At 44.2% G+C, this 21059-nt stretch overlaps 1 pseudogene, besides 1 other annotated feature; it reads right to left on the reverse strand.

Annotated features, from left to right (window-relative positions):
• Positions 18824–19593, reverse strand: CHCHD2P10 (coiled-coil-helix-coiled-coil-helix domain containing 2 pseudogene 10; annotated as a pseudogene).
• Positions 19388–19682: an enhancer, noted in NCBI's record as "tiled region #5071; K562 Activating DNase matched - State 8:EnhW, and HepG2 Activating non-DNase unmatched - State 10:DNaseD". NCBI's record gives its function as "activates a minimal TATA promoter and a strong SV40 promoter by Sharpr-MPRA in K562 cells, with weaker activation in HepG2 cells {active_cell/tissue: HepG2 | K562}" and the evidence as "EXISTENCE:reporter gene assay evidence [ECO:0000049][PMID:27701403]".

The raw sequence follows: 21059 nt of genomic DNA on the forward strand, positions 1-21059 counted from the left end.
CCAAAGTGCTGGGATTACAGGCGTGAGCCACCGCGCATGGCCGCAAAGTTTATTTAGACAATTGCGCTGAACCATAAGGAATATCTCTGTGTGCTGTGACTTCTTTGAGCTGGTCTGAATCCTAGCTATGTGGTTATGTACATTTCATTTTCATCAACAGGACAGCCTGGCTGTCTGGCAAAACTAAAGAAAGATTATTTTGCTTATCTATTCCTCTCCCTCATAGCCCTCCCCAAATTATAAAATACTTTTGAAAGCATGTAAATGGTGTAGTAGTTGAGCTCATTTTCCTTATCTTGCAGGTATGCATAAGCCCTGCTCAATCTACAAAACAAAACGAAAATCTCAACTTTATAAAACACTAATAATTTACTACAGTATTTCTTCAAACACACACACATAACTGACATTTATTGAGTGCTTTCTGTGTGCCAGGCCTAGGTCTAAGTTCTTTATGTAAATTAACTCACCCCTCGCAGCCCTCTTCCTGGGGCTGGTAGGAATGCCTGTCTGTGGTCGGTGCTGAGATGGGGCTCAGCCCCAGTGAGCATCTTGTGATCCTCCTAGGTGATCAGATGGCCGTCAGCCCCATGGTCATCCTTGTCCATGATGCACACACTTAGTTGTCTTCTTGTTGGCATAAAAGGATGCCAGTCTCCGCTGTTTCAGACAACAACCCCAGAAGGATCATTTGGAAGGGACTGTGGCTGTGTTCTGAAAGCTTCTTGACACCCCAGGTAAGGTCAAGAAAACAGCACACCAAAACTTGCAAAAGAGGTGTCTGAGGCTTGATGAAGGTCCAGGAGAAAATGCTGCCGGTGTCCTGATGGCACAGAGCAAAGACCTTTGAGTGGAAACTCATGGACCACAATGAACAGGCCGCAGGTGGTAGAATTTGGAATGCTGGATTCTGCTTCTGACCTTGACACCTAATACACGGTTCTCGCCCTTTGATACTTGGACTCTGAATTGAAAAAGATCTAGAACTATCCTAACTGGTTTTAAAAATTATATGCTCCTTTGTGTGTGTGTGTATAAGAATGACATGATGAAAACCTGTATCTAAATAAAGTCTAATTAAGGCTTTTTTGTTTTTCTTCCTTTTTTTTTTTTTTTTTTTTTTTTTAAGATAGAGTCTTGCTCTGTTGTCCAGGCTGGAGTGCAGTGGTATGATCTCGGCTCACTGCAGCCTCAACCTCCTGGGCTCAGGTGATCTTCCTACCTCAGCCTCTTGAGTAGCTGGGATTACAGGTGTGCACTACCACACCCAGCTACTTTTTGTATTTTTAGTAGAGACGGGGGTTTCACCAAGTTGGCCAGGCTGGTCTTGAACTTCTGACTTCAAGTGATCTGCCTGCCTCGGCCTCCCAAAGTGCTAGGACTACAGGTGTGAGCCACTGTGCCCTGCCTAATTAAGGATTTTTAATGATATATAAGATAAAAATTTGAAGCGATGTGAAAGCATGTGTCATAGTTTAACTGGCAGTGTTTTTCTTCTTAGTGGCTTATAAAGTATTAGTACATCATAAAATTGACAGCACTTTAGATTTGTTGAAATATGGCATTTTAAAAGGTTAATTTTGGAGATGAGGAAACTGAGGCACAGAGAGGTTAATAAACTTGCTCAAGGTTGCACAGCTATTCACAGTAAGTGATAGAACTAAGAAGTGAAGGCTGGGCACGGTGGCTCACGCCTGTAATCCCAGCAGGCCTTTGGGAGGCCAAGGCGGGCGGATCATTTGAGGCCAGAAGTTCCAGACCAGCCTGGCCAACGTGGTGAAACCCCTTTTCTACTAAAAATACAAAACTTAGCTGGGCGTGGTGGCGGGTGCCTGTAATCCCAGCTACTCGGGAGGCTGAGGCAAGAGAGTCGCTTGAATCCAGGAGGCGTAGGTTGCCGTGGGCCGAGATCGTGCCACTGCACTCCAGCTTGGGCGACAGAGCGAGACTCCGAATCAAAAGAAAACAAACAAACAAAAAAACTAAGAAGTGAAGGAAACAGGCTGACCCTGGGGCCTGTGCGCTGAGCTAGGGGGCCCCGCGAGCATTACTCACCGGCTTCCGCTTCTGCTGTGATTTTGGCTGGACTCCTCCCACCTGGGCTGCCGCATTTCTTGCAGTTTTCTGAGCGCAGTTCTCGCGTCTTTCCAGGTTGTTTGAGAAATGCAGGGAATACTTTTCTGCTTAAATTCTCCAGGGTCAGTTTTTCTGCTGCTGCGGAAGACACCAGGCGTATTGAATGGTGGCAGCAGGCAGGGCTGCATCAATTTACCAGGACGGGGGTGAGAGCCGGGGCCTAAGCGGTCGCCTCCGCTCTTGCGTTTTCCCGGAGCCTGTGGGCTGTGTGATGCCGGGGCCTCCCGCAGCCCCGCTGCGCCCGCACCCACGCTTCAGGGCGATTCCCCGCAGGCATAACGGTGCCACTTCCTTAACCAGGCTAAACTCCCGGGCTGTTGGGAAAGTTCATGCCATCACATACCCAGGATGTGTTATTTGCTTTTAGAGCCCTTTGAGTTTTCCTCTGGAGCACTTCAGACACTTTAAAGTTTATTTTTATAGTTATTTGATTTCTGTCTGCCGTCCTCGTTATGCGGAGTCCACCAGGGCCGGGATCTGGGCTATTTTATGCCTGGCACCAAGTAAGTGCTCAGACGCCATCTTGTTGACCTGAAATTTTCGAAGGTGAGGGCCTCAGAGACCCTTGATGAGAGAGTAATTTTAGAAAGGTTTACAGGCTGTGGCCTGGCGCTGCACCCGGGTTACTCCACTCCGGTTCCCAGTTGCGTCCTTCAGGCCCGGGGACTGCCTGGGTCCCCTTGTCTAGATCCTTCCTGAACATTCTGTAGGGAATAGGGCGGTGCCGGTTTATTCTACCTAAAGCGTGCGTTTGTAAATGTCAATGCGCAGCAGTTCGGTGGGGTTAGAAGGCTGGCTAGGAGGAAGCGAGACAATGGGTGAAAATCAAGGTTGAACCCAGGAATCCGGGGAAAGGAGACACCGTGAGTGAAGGAAAACGGGGAGCCGCTTGGGAGTGGAGCCCCCGGCAGAGCTGGGGGAGTAAGCCCCGTGTAGCAGGGAGCCGCTGCCAGTCGCTGTTGCGAAGCCTGGTAGGTCTTGGCCCAGCCCCAAACCCTACAATCTGCGCTGTGTGCCTTTGCCACAGACGGCGCTGCCTGGGCAGGGAGAGCCCTGGGGCTGCGGTGTGGGATGCAGGGATGGGAACCACATCATTGCTGAGGGCTCAAGCCACAATCTGGATGAAGAGGGGTCTGGAATCATGTGTCTATGGTGCCCACTACTTCCCTTTTCATCACCCTTGGTCGGACGGGTTCCACGGCCTGTACTTTCATGCCCGCTTGAGGTGGGGCTGGGTCACCCACACCTGTGGCCTTGAAAGGAGCCCCTACCAAATCCTCAGCCGGAGGCAGTGAAAGCGACCGTCGTTCAACCAAATCTGTATTTCACCCAGAAAAGGTGAAATCGGTGCCAGCGTTGTGCTGCAAAGTCCTGCCTGTGATCCCAGTTCCCGTAGAAACAGGTCAAAATCAAGATGGAGATGGTGAAGTTCACGCCTCATACGCGGAAGCCGTTAGGAGAACTGTGATGAATCCAGTCCGGGCTCTGTCATGGGTGGTGCCAAAGATGTGTGTAACTCTGTTTCCTGCTTATAGCACTGGTCTCCTACTCGACCCCTAGGGGAGAGAGGGCCTGTGGGGCTGTAGGGAACAGGAATGGCCCTGGGAGGGCAGCTGCCTGCTCCAACTGCAGCTGGTCCTAGCTGCCGTGACCTTTTTTTTTTTTTTAACTGAAACTGAGTCTCGCTCTGTTGCCCAGGCTGGAGCACAGTGGCGCCATCTCGGCTCATTGCAACCTCCACCTCCCAGGTTCAAGCGATTCCCGTGCTTCAGCATCCCGACTAGCTGAGATTATAGGCATGTGCCACCACACCCGGCTAATTTTTGTATTTTTAGTAGAGATGGGGTTTCACCATGTTGGCCAGGCTGGTCTGGAACTCCTGACCTCGGGTGATCAGCCCACCTCAGCCTCCCAAATTGCTGGGATTACAGGCATGAGCCACCGCACCCGGTCAGCCATTAGCTTTTTACAGAAAGCCTGGTAAGGGCTCTAGACCCCCCACGGTGGTGTGTGTGTGAGAGAACCCGTACATAGACACATACATACACACACACACACACAGACACACACACACGAACCTGGGAAAACTCAAGTCTAACCAAAGCATTAGGTCCTGTTTTACAAAAGGGAGAGGAGCTTATTAGTTCCTTGGGGAGACTGATCATATGAATGGGAAACATTGACCAAAGGGGACAAGTGAAAGTCATGAGGTCAAAGCCATAAGCTAGGTAGAAGGGGCAGCCAGGTGTATGGGCAAGAGCCCTTGCTTAGAATATGGATGAGCATATTCATGCCTGTAATCCCAGCACTTTGGGAGGTCGAGGCGGGCGGATCACCTGAGGTCGGGAGTTCAAGACCAGCCTGACCAGCATGGAGAAACCCCGTCTCTACTAAAAATACAAAATTAGCCGGGCATGGTGGCGCATGCCTGCAATCCCAGCTACTCGGGAGGCTGAGGCAGGAGAATCGCTTGAACCCGAGAGGCAGAGCTTGCAGTGAGCTGAGGTCGCACCAGTGCACTCCAGCCTGGGCAACAAGAGCAAACTCCATCTCAAAAAAACAAAAACAAACAAAAATAAACAACAACAACAACAAAAACAGGATAAATTAAGGAGTAGAATGCTCTATTTAAAAGACTGAGGAGGAAAGTCAAAGTTTCGCCAGCTGTGCTGTCTTTCCTTTGGTAATGGTGTCTGTGCGTGTAGGTGCTGGCTCCTCTTCCCCCGGACCATGCCCTTACCTGATGCAAGAGGACTGTAGGTGTCTTAAGTGTGCACCAGCTCTGATGGTTGATCACCACGTGCTCTGGCTTCTCTCTTCTTTTGTTTCTTTTTTTTTTTTGAGACAGAGTCTTGCTCTGTTGCCCAGACTGGAGTGCAGTGGTGCAATCTTGGTTTACTGCAACCTCTGCCTCCTGGGTTTAAGCAATTCTCCTGCCTCAGCCTCCTGAGTAGCTGGGACTACAGGCATGTGCCACCATGCCCGGCTAATTTTTTGTGTTTTTAGTAGAGACTGGGTTTCACCATGTTGGCCAGACTGGTCTCGATCTCCTGACCTCGTGATCCGCCTGCCTCGGACTTCCAAAGTGCTGGGATTACAGGCATGAGCCACCGCGCCCAACCTGGCTTCTCTCTTCAATGACTTTCTTCCAAATGGTGCCTTTTGTAACGGCTGTTGGAGAAGTAAAGGGCTGAGTGCATCTGGCTTCCCGCGGGGTCCTGTGACTGAGAAGTCCATGTGCTGGGGAGGGAGCAAAGCCTCACTTTCTCTCAAACATCTTGCAAGGTGCCTCAAGAGGCTTAAGGGCCTTATAATCATTTGGCAGCCTCATCCCTCACTTAGAACTGTGAATTGGCTTGCTTATTTGCCTTATAAAGCCCATATGTTTATTTTATTTTATTTTACTTTATTTTGAGATGGAGTCTCGCTCTGTCGCCCAGGCTGGAGTGCAGTGGCACAATCTCAGCTTACTGCAAGCTCTGCCTCCCAGGTTCACGCCATTCTCCTGCCTCAGCCTCCCGAGTAGCTGTGACTACAGGCACCCGCCACCACGCCCGGCTAATTTTTTGTATTTTTAGTAGAGACGGGGTTTCACCATGTTAGCCAGGATGGTCTTGATCTCCTGACCTCGTGATCTGCCTGCCTTGGCCTTCCAAAGTGCTGGGATTACAGGTGTGAACCACCACGCCCGGCCCCTAAAAAGCCCATATGTTTTCTTAAAATCATTTTCAGGTAAGCTTTTTCCATGGGTTTTCGTGATGATATAACATACTCAGAACCCATAGGCAAGTTCATTTTAAAAAAAGATGACCTCTTACAAATGGTTCTATTTCTTTCTCTGGCTATTTGGTGTCAAGATGACAAGTGGCTGGGAGGTGTGGGGTCTGTGTAGGAAGTCTCCCACATGGCCACACTGAGAATGTTTATTGTAGAAAGGGAACTTTTGCCCTGTGAAGTCACCTCCTCCGAGTCACCAGTAGCTTTCTGATATTCTATCACAGGAAATTCCTGGTGGTCCACAAAAGCAGTCTTCTGAGTGCAGCTGCAGAGAGAGACAGAAAATAATTGCCGAATTTGACAGTAAGGTCTGGGGATCTGTGTTCAGGGGTGGCTAGCACCTGGGCTGTGTGAGCTGCAAACTGGGAGGCTCTTTGAACAATGTCAGAATAATCCAAGGAACAAAGGTCAACTGACCTCTCATTGTAATGCATGTAATGCAGAGAAAAAGGTACTGGAGGATGTCTTTTGTGTTTCAACAAGGTAGCTAGAAATTATATTTAGATTTGGTTGTTTTGAAGCTGTAGTAACTAAACACCACCCTGCCCCATCTTACCTAGCACTTAATATTCATTATCAAAACGTCAGCTTAAAAGTTTGGATATGGCAGTGGCATGCTTGAAGTATCAGATTTTGAATGAAAAACCATCTTACATCTGTGATTTAAATGAAAAACAGTACACTGCAGATATTTCTGCATCAACTTCAAATCCCTGTGTGGCATAGGTCAAACCCCTTAATACGCTGGGCCTTAGTTGTCTTATCTGTAAATAAGGGAATTTCCTGAATCTTTACTCTTACAGATTTAAGATCCTGGCATTCTACGTTTTTCCATGTCTCTACCTAGGGAGGAGCAGGCACCATCTGGCACCCTGACTGGGTGGGGGACCTGGACATTGTGTCTCCAGGCCATGTCCAGGACTTGTGGATTTCACGGTGCAAGCATTCTTTCCCTAGAGTATCTGCTGCTCTGCCTTTGTATTATAAGAATTAGAATGAACAGTGCAGTCTGAAAGATCAGTAGAGGTTGAAATAGAGATTGACTTCTCTAAAATAATGATAACTCTTCATCTGAGATTGTTTGTAGGCTTTTAAAAATCCATTTCAATAGATTTTTTTTTTCTGGAGTCCCATGCAACAAATCTAGGCTTTGAGTTAAATCTTCAATGTTTTCTATCGATAGTTTTTTTTTTTTTGAGTGCCTTTAATGCACCAAGTTGCTTGTGTGAGTTGGTCCACTGACAGAGGGTCTCTTCCTGACCAACTCAGCCTCCTCTGGTTCCTATTCCTGACGAGGCCTTGACTTTTGGACTTTTTGTCCATTTTTGCATTGCTCAGCTTTAGAGAGAATACCTTAAAGTTGGTTTAGCCAGAATCCCCCAGCATCGATATCTGGTCACCGTTGATATCTAATCATTCTCAGTATCTCATCAGCTTCCTCACGCCCTACAGTCCCATTGATGTCTGATCACCCTGGCCCGCCTTCAGCCAGAATCCTTTCATGTTGGTTCAGCCAGATTCCCTCTTACCTCTGATATTTCCTCTTAATAATTTTCCATCCACTGACCCTCACCCTGGTCCTTGGCTATAAAATCCTCACTTTCTCTTGCTGTGTTCGGAGTTGAGCACAGTTCTATTTAACTATTGTCCAGCTCTGGTCTTCAGTGAACCACCGTGAGGGCAACAGTCTCATCTGATGTTTTAGAACTGCTGCAGTGGGATTAGCCTGAAGAATCCTTCTATGTCCCCGTTATTCTCTCTGCAGTAAGGTGGGAGGCCCAGGAGGGGCATGAATTCACAGGGGCCAAGGCAGTGATGAAATTGGGAAGAGAGATTCAATAGTCTTTGTGGCCTTCTGTTGGCAGCCTGCATGTTCTAGCCATACAACTGGCGGCTGCTGCATACCTCCCACCAGCCACAACAATTCATGGAAATTAATAAATGCATTTATTGGGAGAGGTCATGGGTAAAACAGGAAAATCAGTCCCCCAGCTTCCCAGACAAATACTCTAGAATTGAGTTTCAATAGAAACCAACAGCCTCTTTCACAGCACTGCGTATTTATAGCAAACAGAAGTGGTTCAAATTCTTATGTAGTTCAGCAAGGTTAAGTACAGTTCTTGTGTTTGTTTAGGTAACAAATGTGTTTGGAGGAGGTTTATGTCACAAAATAGCAAGTGCTAGAAATTCTGGGATGTGAGAAGACTGAGTCAATGAGCCTGATTATCCTTCTCTCGGACTGCAGTCATAGAAAACAATCTTTTTTTGCTTAAAATGGGCATGCAGTTCAATGAGGGAAAAATTAGCCTTTTCAATATATGGTCCTGGAAGAAGTGGACACATGAAAAAGAATAAAATTGAACTTCTTTCTTATATACAAAATCAACTCAAAATAGATCATAGACCTAAATGAAAGAGCAAAAATTATTACATTCTTAGAAGAAAACCTAAGAGTAAATGTGACCTTGGATTACTCAGTGCTTAGTTATCACATCAGAAGCACAAGAAACCAAGTAAAAAATAGAAAAATAAGACTATATAAAAATTTAAACCTTTTGTGCTACAAATGGTACATGAGGAAAATGAAAAGATAACCCAAAGAATGGGAGAAAGTATTTGGAAATCATATACCTGATAAGAAACTGATATCCAGAATATATAAAGAGCTCTTACAAGTCAACAACAAAAAGATAAGTAATCCAGTTAAACAATGGGAAAGTATTTGAGTAGCCAGTTATCCAAAGAAGATATACAAATGGCCAATAAGCACATGGAAAGATGCTGACCATCATTAGCTATTAGAGAGATGCAAATCAAAACCACAATGAGATGCCACTGCAAGCCCACTGGGATGGCTATATTAAAGAAAGACAATAACAAGTGTTGAGCAGGTTATGGAGAAATTGGAACCCTTGCACACTTTTGATAGGGCAGCTGCTGTGGAAGGCAGTTTGGCAGTTCCTCAAAATGTTAACCATAGAGTTACCACATGAGCCTGCGATTTCATGACTACATATAGGCCCAAGAAAATTAAAAACACATGTCCACGCAAAGACTTATACAAGAATGTTGTTAGTGGCATTATTCATAATAGCCAACAAGTGGAAACAGCTCAAATGTCCATCAAATGATGAATGAATAGACAAAATTTGGTATATCCACCAGTACAGTGGAGTACAGTTCAGCAATGAAAAGGAATGAAGTACTGATACATGCTGTGACATGGATAAACCTTGAAAACAAGCTAAGTAAGTGAAGCCAGCCACAGAAGACCACATATTGTATGGTTCTCTTTATATGAATGTCCAGAATAGGCAAATCTATAGAGATAGCAAGTAGATGAATGGCGGGATGTAGTGGCTCATGCCTGTAATCCCAGCACTTTGGGAGGCTGAAGCGGGCAAATCACTTGAGGCCAGGAGTTCGAGACCAGCCTGGCCAACATGGCAAAACCCCATCTCTACTAAAAATACAAAAATTAGCTGGGCCTGGTGGCACACACCAATACTCCCAGCTACTCGGGAGACTGAGGCAGGAGAATTGCTTAAACCCGGGAGGCAGAGGTTGCAGTGAGCTGAGATCACACAACTGCATTCCAGTCTGGGTGAGAGGGAGACCCTGTCTCAAAAAAAAAAAAAAAAAAGTAGTGAATGGTTTTCTAGGGCTGGTGTGTGTGTGTTTGTGTGTGTGTGTATGTAGTTGTTGAGGGAGTCATTACCAGTGGGATTCTATTTGGGATGATGTGAATATCCTAAACTCAGATTGTGGTGATGGTGTTATACAACCCTGTGAATATACTTTGGGAATAAATTGTATACTGTAACGGGGTGTTTTTATATCTCAATACATTGTTTAGAAGAATTGACACTTGGGTAGGGGGGTAATAAGACATTATGATGCCCTTACTAGGACTGCTGCAACTCCCACTTGCCTTTTCTCCCTCTCACCAGATCCCTGTTCCAGGCAGTCAAAGGGAGGCCTTGTCCATCTGGGCTGTGAGATAGGAAGGGAGCTGTTTCTCTACTCCTTCCTCTTACTTGTCTGATTTCCACAGACAGAAAAGAGGCCAACAACAAAAAATCCTTCAGGCTGTTTTTAGTTACAGAGAAAAGAAAAAGATAATCTACACATTGAAAAAATTACATACTTTTTATTGTACCTTTCTCTCCAGAGCTTTAGAGATATTTTTAGTACCTCAAATAATCTTTTTATAAATTATAAATATTTCTGTATTAGAAATTGACACTACCTATGATACTCTGCTTAGTTCCTTTCCTTTTACATATTTAAAATACTCGTATATATATATAGAATGTCTGTTAGCACATTATTCTAAATAGACTTATTCTAAATAAGACTCCAAAGAATCTTACTTCCTTTGTTCTTTTATTTTTACTTATTTATTTTTGAGACAGCGTCTCACTCTGTCACCCAGGCTGGAGTGCAGTGGTGCGATCTTGGCTCACTGCAACCTCTCCCTCCCAGGCTCAAGTGATTCTCCTACCTCAGCCTCCAGAGTAGGTGGGACTACAGGCGTGTGCCAACACACCTGGCTAATTTTTGTATAAAATTTTGTATTTTTGGTAGAGACAGAGTTTTGCCATGTTGGCCAGGCTGGACTCGAACTCCTAGACTTAAGTGATGGCCTGCCAGAGCCTCCCAAAGTGCTGGGATTACAGGTGTGAGCCACCACGCCTGCTTTGTTCTTTGTAATAGAATTTCTTTTTTTCTTTTTCTTTTTTTTTTTTTTTTTGAGATGGGAGTCTTACTCTGTCATCCAGGCTGCAGTGGCACGATCTTGGGGCTCACTGCAACCTCTGCCTCCTGGGTTCAAGTGATTCTTCTGCCTCAGCCTCCCGAGTAGTTGGGATTACAGGTGCCCACCACCACACCCAGCTGCTTTTTTATTTATAGTAGAGATGGGGTTTTGGCATGTTGGCTAGGCTGGTCTAGAACTCCTGACCTTAGGTGATCCGCCTGCCTCGGCCTCCCAAAGTGCTGGGATTACAGGTGTGAGTCACCATGCCCGGCCTTTAGTAGAATTTCTTATGGTACCTTTTTTTTACATTAAAAAAAAGTTTGTGGGTATATAGTAAGTGTACATATTTATGGGGCACATGAGATGTTTTGATACAGGCATGTAATGTGCATTTATCCTTTGAGCTGCACATAACCAATTACATTCTTTAAGTTATTTTAAAATATACAATTAAGCTATTACTGAAACTAGTCACCCTATTGTGCTATCAAATAGTAGGTCTTATTCTTTCTATTTCTTTTGGTACCCATTTTATGGAATCCTTTTGTTAACCATAGCTGGTTGTGGTGGCCATGAGAAGGAATCTTTTAGGTTTTCTACTTGCAGAGAGTGTGGTTGAACACGGTTCTAGATGGCAAGTTCTGATATCTATCACTACGTGGATGCAGAGGACACACTGCTCATGGCTGCTTCCAGAGAATGGTTGAATACAGCAGGTATCCTAAGATCTGTTCTTGGATGTCTCTAACAGGTCACTTTGGGTCTAGGACCCTCCATTACCCTTGCTGAAACTTTTTCAGAACATTCTGTAGTCTCCATACTCCAGCCATCCAACCTTCCTCCCCTCACAGAATGGGAGACCGTGTTGCATGGGACACTGCCCTTGACTGCTCCTGGTGGATTGACTACACTGGATCCCTGACCCCTCTGAGGGCTATCAGTGGTACTTCACCACTGTGGACACTCCTTCAGGCTACAGCGTTATTGTTCTAGTCTGATCAGCCAACTCCTGTCAGACCACTGTAGCCTGTGAAACTGATCCATGTCATGTGTCTGGTTTTCTGGACCATTTGCATTCTGACAATGAGGAGCGTTTTTTCAAAGGGGAGTCAACCGTGGCCTGATAATCAAGGTATTTGATGGAGTTTTTATGTGTTCCTGATATGGTTTGGATGTTTGTCCCCTCCAAATCTTATGTTGACACGTAATCCCCGAAGTTGGAGGTAGGGTCTGGTGGGAAGTGTTTGGATCATGGGGGCAGATCCTTCATGAATGGCTTGGTGCAATCCTTGCAGTAATGAGTGAGTTCTTGCTCCATGAGTTCATGCAAGATTTGAGTTTTTAAAAGGGCCTGGAGCTTCCTGCTATCTCTCTTGCTGTCTCTCACCATGTGATACATGGGCTCCCCCTTTGCCTTCGGCCATGTTTGTACGTTTCCTGAGTCCTCACCAGAAGCAGATGCTGGTGCCATGCCTCTTATACAGCCTGCAGAACAACGAGCCAAATAAACCTCTTTTCTTTATAAATTACTCAGTTTCAGGTATTCTTTTGTAGCAACACAAATGGACCAGCACAGTTCCTTACCATTCACAAGCTTCCTGTGTTGAGTATTGAAACTGCCTCCTCAAAAACTGACTGAAAAATATTTCTCACTCTACTCTCTCACCTTGTCCTGGTCCATGCACTGTAGTAAGGCAGTTTGGTCACTGAATTTGGTTGTCTTCAGAAAGGAATTATATTCTCTTGGCTGCTTCCTTGGTAATGATCAGGACAAAAGATATGAGAGTGATCATCAAGAAGTGTGAAGTGGCTGTGTGCAGTGGCTCACGCCTGTAATCCCGGCACTTTGAGAGGCCAAGGCGGGTGGATCAGCTGAGGTCAGGAGTTTGAACCCAGCCTGGCTAACAAGGCAAAACCCCATCTTTACCAAAAATACAAAAATTGGCTGGGTGTGGTGGTGCATACCTGTATTCCCACTTACTCAGGAGGCTGAGGCAGTATCGCTTGAACCTGGGAGGTGGAGCTTGCAGTGAACCAAGATCGCACCACTGCACTCCATCCTGGGTGACAGAGGGAGACTCTGTTGAAAAAAAAAAAAAAAAAAGAGAAGCCCAGCCTGCACAACATGGTAAGACTCTATCTCTAGAAAAAATTAAAAAATTAGCTAGGCATGGTGACATGCCAGGACACACTCCCAGCTACTTAGGAAGCTGAGGTGGGAGGATCACTTGAGCCTGGGAGGTTGAGGCTACAGTGAGCTATGATTGCACCTCTGCTCTGCAGCCTAGGTGACAGAGCAAGACCCTGGCTCAAAAAAAAAAAAAAAAAAAAAAGAAGAGGTATGAAAAATCTGAGGTTTTATCCTACTTGCAAGCTAACAAGTGAGCTTGCTATAGTTTCAGGGTGTTGGCAGAAAACATGAGACACTTGGCTCAGAGACAAAGGACTTTATGTCTCATGGAATAGCGGTAGTAGCCAGAGTTTAGCATATTTACACCAGTTCCCCAAGCCCAGTTCCCATGGGGTAATGTGATGGGGGGCAGATGAAATCTGAGCATTCATTAGGTTGTGTACAAGAAAGGAATTCCGTTTAAGAATCCCAATTCTCCATTAGTGGGAAATGAGTGTGTCTGATCTTCGCTCTAGAATAAAACATTATTACACTGAAAATTTAACAACACTGCCTTTGCTCTAGAGGGAGACATGATTATCCTCAAAGGCTGTTTGCCAGGCAAACATTCTGGAAAAAAGAGTCTAGAACATAGGGAGTCAGTGTCTTTGACCTTAAAATGTGCAGGGAGAAGCCCTGGGGGATGGTCTTGCAACAAACCTATTTTGAAAATTTGGGTTTCTGCTGTTATGAAAACTTGGGACAATGCTCTCTTCTTTCCTCAAGTGGCAGTTCCAGGTTTGCTTTGTGGGGCACCCTCTGGGTAACAACCCAGCCAAAAGGGAACCCTAGGGAATTCAAACTTCATTCTGGTTAAGCCACCTAGATTTTCTTGTTGGATTAACATGGCCTTAGGTCCTAAAAATAGTGAACACATGTTTGAATAGACTGCTTACCAAGTCCTCCTATGGGGGTCTGCACAGGCCAAAGTGGGGAAATAAGTGTTGTTGTGAGTTGTACTGTGTTCCCCTATAATTCACATGTTGAAGCCCTAATCCCCAAAGTAACTGTGTTTGGAAATAGAATAGAGAGGTAATTAGGAGTCCTAATCCAATAAAACTGGTGTCCTTAAAAGAAGGGGAGCAGACACCAGATATCTCTCTCTCTCCACTCAAGCACAGAGGAAAGGCCATGTGAAGCACAGCAAGAAGCCACCACTTACAAGCCAGGAAGAGTGGTCTCATCAGAAAGCACCCATGGCACCTTGATCTTGGACCTCCAGCCACCAGAACTGTGAGAAATGAAATTTCTTTTGTGTAAGCCACTCACTCAGTCTGTGGCACTTTGTTATGGCAGCACAAGCAAACTAATAGAAGTGTTCTCTGTCCATTTAATAAAAGTTCCTTGTTCCTCTTGTACTTGACCCTTCCAAAGAAAGGTCTTGGTATGGGTAAGGGAATAATTGGACAAAGGGTGACTTTATAGCTACTGAAATGGACAACAATGATTTTATGGTAGTAGAGGAAAAGGAACAACCCTGGCACTTGGAAAGGGAACCCCTTAGACCTCAGGAGGTATAGGGGAGTGAGCAATATTAGTGATCTTTCTCTGCAGCCTTTCTCAAAAAGGAAAATCACCCACAGTAGCTCTCTTAAGCTGTTGCAAGTACCTGAAATTTAAGACTTCTAGGTCTGCCATCCTCCTCCAGATGACTTTCACTGTGATTTGATTGCCATTCCCTTACCCTTGCTGATAAATCTGCTGGAAGTAGCAAAGGGGGACTCTCCTTTGTCTCCTGCCTTCTCCACACCCATTCTCACAGCTGTGGCTCCGTCGTTCTGTGGGGTGAATGAACGCTCCTCCCCTGGTGTACTAGTCCTCGTACAGACAGGATAAGTGGATTGTCTGTCCTTTAGGCCGTCATTCCAAATCAAGGTCTAGACTCAATTATTTAAACTGAGCTAGGAACTCTAGGTGTATCAGCTGGCCAGGAGGCCACTAAGGCATTGTCAGTTTTTTTTCACACAGATCCCTCTGCACTCCATCCCTGCTGAATGATGTAGACCTCATTTGTTGGCTGCAACAATTGTAAGCTCTCTTTCCAGGGGCAGCGTGTGCACCCTTGATATTTGCTTTTAGTCTGGAAGCCAGGTGTTAATTAGCCTTTCTCATGGGGACTTGTACCCCGGGGATGGCCATAACAGACCTTTGAGGGTTTGAGGAAACAGCACCAGGAGACCATGCAGCCTCAGATGATTGTGCAGAGTTCTCCAGAAGCAGCTGCTCTTGGTTCTGTGGCTTGTGTCTTGGAGGGATAGGATAACTGACTTGTTATTTATGTAAGTCCTATGGCAGTTTTTTTCTGTGAGGGGAAGCATCCAATGAGAAAAGGTGGTTTGGAATTCGCCACTTTTTTTAGCTGAAGTGATCACAGCTATGACATTCTCCCGCTAAAGCCATTTAAGTCAGTCTAAACCAACTGGCTAGGGTTGTTATGGTTGATGGGATTGCCCTAGACTTCCTCCTCCTGTACCTGGATTAATATCTAGGGCGAAGTTAAAAAATCAATACAGAGGCTGGGTGCCTTAGCTCAGGCCTGTAATCCCAGCACTTTGGGAGGCTGAGGCAGGCGGATCACCTGATATCAGAAGTTGGAGACAAGCCTGGCCAACATGGTGAAACCCTGACTTTACTAAAAATACAAAAAAATTAGCTGGGCATGGTGGCAGGAGCCTGTAATCCCAGCTGCTGAGGCAGGAAAATCGCTTAAACGTGGCAGGCAGTGGCAGTGAGCCGAGATCGCACCACTGCCAGCCTGGGCGACAGAGCGAGACTCCGTGTCCAAAAAAAAAAAATCAATACAGAAAGTGAAGGAGAAAGCCACCTGGATTTCTGAGGTAGACCTTGATGGGTTGTGAGGTGTTCTGCTGATTGGATACAGGACCCTGAGAGGCGTGGCTGAGGTCCGTACTGTAGGTTGGCCTATCCTGCTGCTTGGAGTCCTGTAGGCAGTAGCCTTAATTAAATGCCATATAAGACAAATTGGATGAGCTTAGCCACAGAGTAGAAGTGAGGAGTGGATATTAGGGGGAAACAATTCTCTGTGGGTCTCTCAAGTTCCAGCAAATATTAATAACAGAGGCACTGACAGCCCTTTGTTCTAGACTATCTTTTCTTTAATTTCTTTCTTTCGTTTTTTTTTTTTTTTGGAGACAGAGTCTTATTCTGTTGCCCAAGCTGGAGTGCAGGGGCATGATCTCGGCTCACTGCAACCTCCACCTCCCGGGTTTAAGCTATTCTCCCGCCTCAGCCTCCTGAGTAACTGGGACTACAGGTGCACACCACCATGCCCAGCTAATTTTTGTATTTTTAGTAGAGACGGGGTTTCACCATGTTGGCCAGGATGATCTCAATCTCTTGATCTCGTGATCTGCCCACCTCAGCCTCCTGAAGTGTTGGGATTAGAGGTGTGAGCCACCATGCCCAGCCTAGACTATCTTTTCAAGGATGTTTATATAGCAGACTTTCTTGAAAGAAATATTTCCCTCTGGAGCAAAGAACAGGTATGCTTACTGCTTGTTATGAATGATTTGGGCTTTTGAAGCCCAGAGTTCCTCCTCTGTACTGTAAGGCAATTCATGGTGTGTTCAGGTGCCCCCCTGGGCCAACTGCATTCATCCCATGGGATTTGGGGGCAAGAAAGATGCAACATTCTGGTACCCATGTTGCTTGCTATATAGGAAGTAATAAAATTCTTTGTCTCTGACCCATGAGTCTCTTGTCTTTTGCCAGCATCCATGAAGCAAACGGTAACAGGCCGATTTATCAGCTTCTAAGTAGGTTAAAATATCAGATCTGCCAGTTTCCTGTGAGTAGATGAGTAGTAAATGACCATTAAGTATTCCATAAATCATGGATTGGAGAGAGGGAAGGAAACAATTAGTGCATATCTACAAGGACTTTCTTCTGTAACATAAAAAATTTTAAAACCCCTGGTCCTTATTGAGCATTTAACATATTTTTCTTAAATTTCCCAAAGTACTTGAAACAAGTACAGTAGGTGTTTGTTTGGTTAACACAGCCTGTTTGCCTGTGTTGTTTATATTTTCCCTCTACATCTTTCTATGTTCCCTATTATTTTTTTGTCTCCTTTATTTCTCAGCACATGAACAGGCTCAAGGGTGATTGATACTTGCAGGAAGATTTTATTTTCACGCTAGAATAGCATTCATAAAAGAATAGGGCTCTGAGGCCGGGTGCGGTGACTCATGCCTGTGATCCCAGCACTTCGGGAGGCCGAGGTAGGCTGATCACCTGAGGTTGGGAGTTCGAGACCAGCCTGACCAACATGGAGAAACCCCGTCTCTACTAAAAATACAAAATTAGCCGGGCATGGTGGCAGGTGCCTGTAATCCCAGCTACTCAGGAGGCTGAGGCAGGAGAATCGCTTGAACCCAGGAGGCGGAGGTTGCGGTGAGCTGAGATCATGGTGAGTGGAGATTGTGCCATTGCACTCCAGCCTGGGCAACAAGAGTGAAACTCCGTCTCAAAAAAAAAAAAAATGAATAAGGCTCTGAAACCCAATTGAGCCATGGTTGAACCAGGAAAAATGCAGATAGGGCCTCTGCTGAGGACTGAATTCCCTTTTAGAGTGTTTTATTTTATTGTGGTAAATAAACATAACAAAAATTTATCATTTTGACCATTTTGGAGAATACGATTAATTCATTGATATTAAGTACATTCACAATGTTGTGCAGCCATCACCACTATCTGTTTTCAGAAGTTTTTCATCACGTCAAACAGAAACTCTACCCATTACACAGTAACTCCTCATTCTCACCTCTCCCCAGGTCCCTAGTAACCACCATTCTACTTTATGTCTCTATGAAGTTGCCTATTCTATATACCTCATACAAGTGGAATCACACCATATTTGTCTTTTTTTGTGTCTGCTTATTTCACTTAGCATAATATTTTCAAGCGTTATCCATGTTGTAGCATGTATTGAAATTTCATTGCTGTCTGCCTTTTGGCTACTATGAATAATACAGTTGTCTCTCTGTATTTGTGGGTTCTGCATCCATGGATTCAACCAATCATGGATTAAAAAATACTTGGAATGGCCAGGTGTGCTGGCTCATGCCTGTAATCCCAGCACTTTAGGAAACTGAGACAGGTGGATCACCTGAGGTCAGGAGTTCAGGACCAGCCTGGCCAACATGGTGAAACCCTGTGTCTACTAAAAATACAAAATTAGTTGGGCATAGTGGTGCACGCCTGTAATCCCAGCTACTTGGGAGGCTGAGGCATGAGAATCACTTGAACCTGGGAGGCAGAGGTTGCAGTGAGCTGAGATCACACCACTGAACTCCAGCCTGGGCTATGAAGTGAGACTCTGTCTCAAAAAAAAAAAAATTGGAAAAAAGATACAATAATAAAATAATACAAATTAAAAAATATAGTATTAATGATTTCCATAGCATTTACAGTATATTAGGTATTATAAGTAATCTAGAGATGATTTAAGGTATATGGGAAGATGTGCATCAGTTTATATAAATACTACACCATTTTTTCCCTTATATCTACTGATTGCTTTTGCAAAACTACACCATTTTATATATGGGACTTGAGCATCCGCAGATCTGGGTATCCAAGAGGGTCCTGGAACCAATCCCCTACAGATCCTGAGGGATATTGGTGTACAAGTATCTGTTTCAGTCCCTGCTTTCAATTCTTTTGAGTATATATTGAGGAATGGAATTGCTGGATTATATAGTAATTTTATGTTTTGAATTTTAGAGGAACTGCCAAACTGTTTTCCATAGTAGCTGAACCATCTTACATTCCACCAGCAATGCATGAGGGTTCCAATTTCTCCACATCATCACTAATGCTTGTTATTTTCATGAAAAATAAACAGCCATTCTAATTTGTGTGAAGTGGTACCTCACTGTGGTTTTGATTTGTATTTTCCAAATGACTAAGGCATGTATTTATTGGCCATTTGTTTATCTTCTAGAGAAATATTCATTTTCTTGGAAGAAAATCATCTCATTCTAATTGACTCACAAAGAATAAAATCGTAACAGCCAGTTTAAGGAGGCCACACAAACATTTGCCCAGCCCCAAATTCTACACCATCTTAATGAAATTCTACACAGTTAGAACACCCTCTTCCATTTCAATTCTGAAGCAAGGAAGCTATAGATGACATACGAGAGGTTTAACTGGTGGTTATATTTTATACCTTCACTATCAATTTTATTTTAATAGTGAATTAACTTGGTTAGGAGAGCTGATTTTCCATTTCTCCAATTTGAACTTCTTGATTAGGCCTATCTGTTTGCAAGTCTGCACTGTTTGAGAACCTCTTGAAAGCCCCACAGAGCTTGTTGGTGTCACCCTGGTTCTGGGCACACTCCAAAAACTGTTTGATCTCATGGAAACAAGGCTGCTGCTGCTGTGCTGGCCAGGTTCCCTGATGCTGCTGGTAAGTGATGTCAAGTTTTGCAGGCTCACCATTACTTCCTCCACTGAAGCTCCCAGTGAGGGCATAACCCAGTGTGTGACCCACAGCAGAGCCTACAGCCACGCCAGCTGCAGTGGTTGCCATTTGGGCCATCAGACTTGGCTGCCGGGGTGCAGGAGCAGGAGAGCCAACTGCAGATGGGGGTGCCACTGCTGGCGGCTGAGCTGCTGGTGCTAGCCTGGGTGTAGCTCTCATCTGAGGTGCCTGGCTGGTGGGAGGGGCCCTGTAGGAGGTGTGGCTTCGGCTTCCACGTGGCATACTAGCTGCACGGCGGCTCAGTGTTTGGTAATACTCATTTTTGAATTGAGTTGTTTGTTTTTGTCATTGAGTTTTAGGAGTTGTTTATTCTGGATACGAATCCCTTATCAGATATGTCATTTGCAAATATTTTCTGTCATTCTGTGGGTTGTTTTTTCACTCTGTTGATTGTGTCCTTTGATGCAAAAAGTTTTAAACTTTCATTAAAAGAATGGTTCTTTAATATTTACTTTTGTTGACTGTGTTGTTGGTGTCGTATCCAAGAAATGGTTGTCAAATCCAATCTCATGAAGATTTCCCCGTTTTTTCTGAGAGTTTATTGTTTTAGCTTTTAACTTTGGATCTTTGACTCATTTTGAGTTTAAAAAAGTATGATGTAAGGATCCAACTTTACTTGTTTGCATGTGAATAGTCAGTATTTCTAGCACCATTCGTTAAGGAGAATGTCCTTTCTCCATTAAGTGGTCTTAGTACCCTTGTTGAAGATCATTTGACCCCACATTTCTGGGATTATTTCTGGGCTTTCTGTTCTTTTCCATTGGTTTATATAGCTGTCCTTATGCCAGTATCACTTTTTTTTTGAATACTGTAGCTTTGTAGTAAGTTTTGAAATTAGGAAATGTGAATCTTCCAATTTTGTTATTTTTCAAGATGTTTTGGTTATTTAGGATCTCCTGAGATTTCCTATAACTTTTAGAATCAATTTTTCTATTTCTACAAAACATGCCATTGGTATTTTGACAGGAGTTTCACTGAATCTGTAGATTGTTTTGGGTGGTTTTGTCCTCTTCACAATATTAAGATAAAATGGAAATGTCTTTCCATTAATTTATCTTCTTTGATTTCTTTCAGTCATGTTTTGTAGTTTTCAGTGTACCAATCTTTTTCCTCCTTAGTTAAATCTATTCCTAAGTACAGTTTACCCTTAAACAACATAGATTTGAGTTGCGAGGTTCATTTACACTCAGTTTTTGCAATAAAAGTTACACCAAGTGTGCCTGCCTCTCCTGCCTCCCCTTTCACCTCCTCTACCTTTTCTACCTCTGCTACCCCTGAGACAGCAAGATGAATCCTTTCTCCTCCTCCTCCTCTTCAGCCTACTCAATGTGAAGATGACAAGGATGATGACTTTTATGATAATCCATTCCACTTAATGAATTGCAAATATATTTTTTCTTCCTTATGATTTTATTTTGTTCTTATTCTTTCCCTCTTTTTGTAATTATCCAGACATTGTTGAGACTCCTTCTGATTTTTAAAATATCACTTTCTTTTCTCTATCTTACTTTATTCTAAGAATATAGTATATAATACATATAACATTAAATATGTATTAATTGACAGGTTGTTATCGGTAAGTTTTCCAGTCAACTGTAGGCAATTAGTACTTAAGCTTTTGGGGAGTCAAATGTTGTATGTGGATTTTGACTATGCAGGAGGTCAACTTATTCTTTTTGATATTATTGTAAATTGAATGTTTTTCT

This window comes from Homo sapiens, chromosome 8, assembly GCF_000001405.40.
Source record: "Homo sapiens chromosome 8, GRCh38.p14 Primary Assembly".
In the NCBI taxonomy this organism is placed as follows: Eukaryota; Metazoa; Chordata; class Mammalia; order Primates; family Hominidae; genus Homo; species Homo sapiens.